This window comes from Homo sapiens, chromosome 10, assembly GCF_000001405.40.
Source record: "Homo sapiens chromosome 10, GRCh38.p14 Primary Assembly".
In the NCBI taxonomy this organism is placed as follows: domain Eukaryota; kingdom Metazoa; phylum Chordata; class Mammalia; order Primates; family Hominidae; genus Homo; species Homo sapiens.
The window spans coordinates 6,115,437-6,121,489 of record NC_000010.11 but is presented as its reverse complement, the minus strand read 5'-3'; the positions used below and the strand labels follow the sequence as shown (position 1 = coordinate 6,121,489).

The window sequence follows — 6,053 nt, the reverse complement described above, 5'->3', positions numbered from 1 at the left end:
CAAGCTGGGCCCAGGGCAACATTAAAAAACAAACCTGTAATCAGTATTTATATGATATGGCATTTTGTGTATTCATCTCAGCTGAGTCAGTTGTATATCATGGTTAATTACCATTATTTTACAACTTTGGAAAGCCCCTCATCTTCCCGCTCCCGGATGGACCACGAGTTCTCCAGGCCCCTGTATGGCTATGGACCAAGACTTCTTTCATGATGACCTTGGGAACTGCTTTCGTCTCTCCTACTTTGGGTTCCCTATTTCCCCGAGTCAATGCCATCTTTTTCTGGGTTTACTCCTTCAGTTGTAGCGAGTTAAAGACTGAATGGAGATGAGGGAGGTGGAAAGTAAGTACAGCCTCTTCTTCCGAGACATCTGCTTAGGAAGAGAGGGAAGGAGCCTCATGAGGATGTATTTAGAAGTATGGAGGCAGAGACCAGCAGCAGGCCAGCTAAAAAGTTAAAAGTAGTTCCCGCGGGGGAGGTGTGCAGCTGGGGACTGTTGTTTCTCAATTATGGGGCTGTGGTGCCAATAAACCTCGCATGAGTAGCAACTCAGCAGGCCCAGGATACGTGTTGGAAGGGGAATGAGGGAAGGGGCAATTCTCCAGGCAGCAGGGAGAGCGTGAGCAGAAGTCACTGCCAACACTCCCACCACAGGAACCTAAGGGAAGGCGCGGCGCAGCGAGGGCAGTGAGAACGCCCCGGCTTCCAAGCAGGAGTCTAGACGCGGTAAGGATTGTGTATACGGGAGTGGCTTGAACAGCTGAGGCATTGCCTTGGAAGATGAGAGGGGTGCACGGTTAAAGCAGGGAGACCAGCGGGAGCCCATGGGCCTACTCCCAGGAGATAAGGGGTCAGAAATGAAGGAGCTCCACTGTATTACCATGAAAGATGGAAAAGAAACAGAACCGGCGGTCCTCAACTACAGACTGGATCTAGATAGAAGGGAAAGTGAGGAATCGAGGGTGATTCTTGGGTTTCTGAGTTAGATGACTGAATAGATGATGCTTTCCCCCAAATCAGAGAGTTTAGCAGGAGAGCTTGAAAGGGAAGAAGTGAGTTAAAGTTCGGGACATGTGTTTGAGGTGCAAAGGGGACAGCCAGGGGATGATGTCTAATAGGCACTTGGATACAGATCTGAAGTTTGGTAAGGAAGACTGGCTGAGATTCAAATACAGGTGAGTCACAGAAGCAGCCCAAGGCCAAGGTAAGGAGATAAAAACACTTGGGAAGAGGTAAAGCGTGAGCGATACTGGCAGGGCCGCGGTCTCCGTCCTCGGGAAGGGAGTGGTTACCAGCGTCAAGTGCCATAAAACGTCAGGAGACTCACCGCACGGCTCTTAGCTGAACTATCAAGGAGGCCTGGTGGAAGCAGAGGTCTAATTTGTAGTCGACGCAGTCCTCATTCTGCAAGTGTGGGCTGAGTGGAAGAGGCAGTAAGAAGCAAGGAGGTGGAGGCGGGATGTTGGGATTCTCTGAGAAGAATGGGGACACCAGGGAGTTGGGGAGTGGCTAAAAATTCAAGGTTTGACCTATTTCCATTAAAGATGGGAGAGATTTGAGGAAATTTATATGCCAGTACAGAGTTTGAAAACGGGAGAGACAAAAGGAAAGTCTTACCATGTAATCCAGCAGTCTCACTCCTAAATATGTACCCCGCTAATGTGAAAACGTGTCCATGAAACACCTGCACATGGATGCTTATAGCTTTACTCATAGCTGCCAAGAACTAGAAGTAATCAATATGGCCGTCAGTAGGTGAATGGATAAACATATGGTGGTACATCCGCACAGTGGAATAAAGAACGAGCTATCAAGCCACAACAAGAGATGCATGAATCTGACAGGCACGTTGCCAAGCAAAAGCAGCCAGTCTGAAAAAAGCTGCATGGTATGTGCTTTCCAGTTACATGACATTCTGGCAAAGGCAAAACTATAGACAGTCAACACATCAGTAGTTGCCAGGAATGCAGGTGTGGAGTAGGGTGGAAATTTCACTACATAGATGAAGCACAGGGGATTTCTTAGGGCTTTAAAGCCATTCTGTGTGATACTGTAAAGATGAATACATTTTATTTTTTTATTTTTTTGCGACAGAGTCCCTCTCTGTCACCCAGGCTGGAGTGCAGCGGCACAATCTTGGCTCACTACAACCTCCGCCTCCTGGGTTCAAGCAATTCTCTGCCTCAGCCTCCTGAGTAGCTGGGATTACAGGCATGCATGCGCCACCGCACCTGGCTAATTTTTTTTTAGTAGAGACAGAGTTTTGCCATGTTTGCCAGGCTGGTCTCAAACTCCTGACCTCAGGTGATCTGCCTGCCTCGGCTTCCCAAAGTGCCGGGATTACAGGCGTGAGCCACCGCGCCCGGCCACGACTAAATCTTAATTTATGTACATTAAAAAAAAAAAAACCAGGCCAGTGGCTCACATCTATAATCCCAGCATATTGGGAGGCCGAGGCAAGCCATAACACCAGCCTATAGTCCAAGGAACAGCAGCAGCTTGGCTAAATGCCTCACCACCAAGTAACGAGGTTCACCAGTTCTTCAGCCCAGGGAAACCGGGTCCTTACCAGTCCCATCCTACCTCCTCCATCTTTCATCTTTCAGGATTTGTCATGTGCAATCCCAGCTATCAATCTGTTATCAGTCAGGGGTCTTAGGTGCAGATTTAAAAATTCACTCTAGCTTGTTTAAGCAGAAAGAAATCTACCAAAAAAAAAAAAAAAAAAGGATTGGGTGCGGTGGCTCATGCCTATAATCCCAGCACTTTGGCAAAAAGATAATTTGAGCCCAGGAGTTCAAGACCAGCCTGGCCACCATGGCGCAACGCTTTTTCCACTAAAAATAAAAAAATTAGCCAGGCATAGTGGCACATGCCTGTAATCCAAGCTTCTTGGGAGGCTGAGGCACAAGAATTGTTTGAACCTGGGAGGTGGAGGTTGCAGTGAACTGAGATTGTACCACTGCACTTCAGCCTAGGCAAGAGTGAGACTCTTGTCTCAAGAAGAAAAAAAAAAAGGAGGCCGGGCGCGGTGGCTCACGCCTGTAATCCCAGCACTTTGGGAGGCCAAGGCGGGTGGATCACGAGGTCAGGAGATCGAGACCATCCTGGCTAACACCATGAAACCCCGTCTCTACTAAAAATACAAAAAATTAGCCGGGTGTGGCGGTGGGCGCCTGTAGTCCCAGCTACTTGGGAGGCTGAGGCAGGAGAATGGCATGAACCCGGGAGGCAGAGCTTGCAGTGAGCCGAGATCGCGCCACTGCACTCCAGCCTCGGCAACAGAGTGAGACTCCGTCTCAGAAAAAAAAAAAAAAAAAAAAAAAAAAAGGAAAAGGCCAGGGACAAGCCGCAGGTTTTATGTAAAGCAAAAATCCCAAACCCCTCCATAGACTGCTCTGCCAGATACCACACACCAGCAGAGGTGACAAGGTCTCTGCCACTGCTGCCCCCAGTGCCACACAACACTGTGCAGAGGAACCCTTGCCAAAGTCAGACGACAGACTCTTCACACAGCTTCTCTCCCACACTGCGGTGCCGGTCTGATCAGAGATCCCAAGCGCACAACCCTACTCAACCTGCAAGACAGGCTGGGAAAGCAAGTTTCTAGTCTCTTGCGGGGAGGAGGGAAACAAGGAAGTTCCCCACACAGAAAAAGGCGTTTCAGGCTGGGCTCGGTGGCTCACACCTGTAATCCCAGCACTTGGGGAGGCTGAGGCGGATCACGGGTCAGGAGATCAAGACCATCCTGGCTAACACGGAGAAACCCCGTCTCTATTAAAAATACAAAAAATTAGCCGGGCGTGGTGGCGGGCGCCTGTAGTCCCAGCTACTTGGGAGGCTGAGGCAGAAGAATGGCGTGAACCCAGAAGGCGGAGGTTGCAGTGAGCCCAGATCATGCCACTGCACTCCAGCCTGGGCGACAGAGCAAGACTCCGTCTCAAAAAAAAAAGAAAAAAAAAGAAAAAGGGGTTTCAAAAACTCACAGATGGGCCACCAAGAATGACAAACGTCTATTACACGGAAACTTGCCAGTTACATTGTAGCTTACATAATTTTTAATTTTTATTGAAATTTAAAATTTTTATATTAGCTTAAATGTTAATATTGAAAATTAATTTCAAATTTCTCAAGTACTAACTTGCAGGAGATTTAGAAATTATTCGACTATCAGAAATTCATTATAAATAAAGCACTAACTGATTAACACAGTTATTTTAAAAATAAAAGACTGGGGAGAAAGGCACACACCAAGCTGTCCTCATGCGAACGGAAATCAAGTAGTATGAGTTGGTTGCAACTCTCTGGTTGCTGACCATGAGAATGTTAGGAAAAGCCACCCATTTAGGTGCAAACAATGTTTTACAAAGCATAACAACAATAAATGCATGCATGAAAGGTGGGTTGGAACCATTAGTTTCTAAAATTAAACAAGCACACTCCGGTACTTGTAAGCACAAACATGGTTTCCACTTGAGGAATGGTATGCCTAATTCCATAGATAACTGAAGTTCCAGGGCTGCTTTTGATTCTGTCTTCCACAATGTTCAATTATGTAATTTACCTCACATTCCTTAACCCCAACTTACTTTACAGAACAGGTGCACTTTTATCATAAAACTCAATTTTATTCAATAAAATAATACCACAAAAGATAAAATGTTATTCTTTTATTTATGTTAAATAAAAACATGAGAAAATCCTTTTTTAAAAAGGGTCAGAATATTCCTTATGTCTCCAAACCAAGTCCATGGATGCAAAGAAATGCTGAGTTCTTGATACACTTTCATGTCATAATAACCAAAGGAGACAGCACGGGCTCGAGTCTTTCAGCTGCCGCTTAGGAAAGTCACATGCAGTATTTGGGAAAGCAAGGAACAGAACACAGGCATGAGTATTTTCTGGAAATACCTCCTGCCCTGGCAATGAACCTCAGTACCAAATATTTTTGTTTTCTTTTTTGTGGTCCTGATAAATTTTTAAGCCACACATCCTACTGAACTTCAATGATACAATTTCTCACAATTCCAGAATTCTATTGGCAGTACAGTTTACTTGGCCAACGTGGATAATCTTATAAATTTTAAAATTACATACAATAGAACACTATTGCAAATTTTGCCAGTAGAAACATGACCCCAAGGAACTGCCATTTCCAAAACATAACTGGGCACACATTTACAATGCACCTGCTAGGTTTTGAATTCATTTGTCATTTCTGATCTACCCTTAAGACTATGCTTGAATCTCTGAAAACAAATGCTAGATTCATGATTTCTATACCCACATACTCCATAAATCCATCACAAACCCTACAGTCTGATTTAGCCTACGGCAAATGATTCATCCAATAGGCCATGGTATGTTCACAATTCTTCAATCTTATTCAGGTTGTAAAGACGTTTTTCTACGACTGGAGTCACTAAGAATTTCTCTGTTAGAGAAAGCATCATTTTCACCTTTGGCACACTGCCAAGATGATACTTTACTACAGAATTTATGAAACTACAATTTAGTAACTTGCAGGCTTTATTAAAAGAAAAAGAAAAACAAAGAATAATTTAATATAACCCCATGTCCCAAAACTTTCTAGTTTTTTTTTTTTTTTTTTTTTTAGTGCAAGAAATGCTGCATCATTGAAGCACTTGAGAATTACCATGAAATCTAACAAAAAATGTCATCAACTCAGGAGTAATAATAAAAAAGAGAAACAACCAGAGAGGCACACAGATTGTTGTTTTTTTAAAAGGATTTTTATACTATATTAAAAAACCACAAAATAAAAAAGGGATCAATCAACATATATCTTAGAAGTCCTTCCAAGAGTCTTGGTATGCAACAGCCATGGAGGCTGTGACCTTTTTCCTTCTTTTCTCAGCCTGCAGTTCATTTAAGGATCACCGGAGATGACTCGTGCTCTAGTTCTTAAAATCAAACTTGTTCTGCCAAATCCAAGACCCTGAATTTGTCCAAATTGTAGAAACATGCTTTTACCACCCGTCCACCAAAATACCTCCCATTCAAGTCAACAACCGCTGAAAGGCAAACAAA

The 6,053-nt window shown here is 44.3% G+C and overlaps 1 protein-coding gene across 2 annotated transcripts in view, besides 1 other annotated feature; it reads right to left on the bottom strand.

The window, feature by feature from the left end:
• Positions 1–4,042: 4,042 nt before the first annotated feature.
• Positions 4,043–6,053, bottom strand: part of RBM17 (RNA binding motif protein 17) — a 28,414-nt gene continuing 26,403 nt past the window's right edge. For both annotated transcript variants that reach the window (NM_032905.5, NM_001145547.2), the window contains exon 12: positions 4,043–6,037. In NM_032905.5, the coding sequence (NP_116294.1) occupies positions 5,934–6,037 (104 nt within the window). In that variant the 3' untranslated portion in view covers positions 4,043–5,933. The remainder of the gene's footprint in view (positions 6,038–6,053) is intronic.
• Positions 5,398–5,598: a silencer, noted in NCBI's record as "peak861 fragment used in MPRA reporter construct". NCBI's record gives its function as "represses an SCP1 promoter by STARR-seq MPRAs in K562 erythroleukemia cells {active_cell/tissue: K562}" and the evidence as "EXISTENCE:reporter gene assay evidence [ECO:0000049][PMID:32103011]".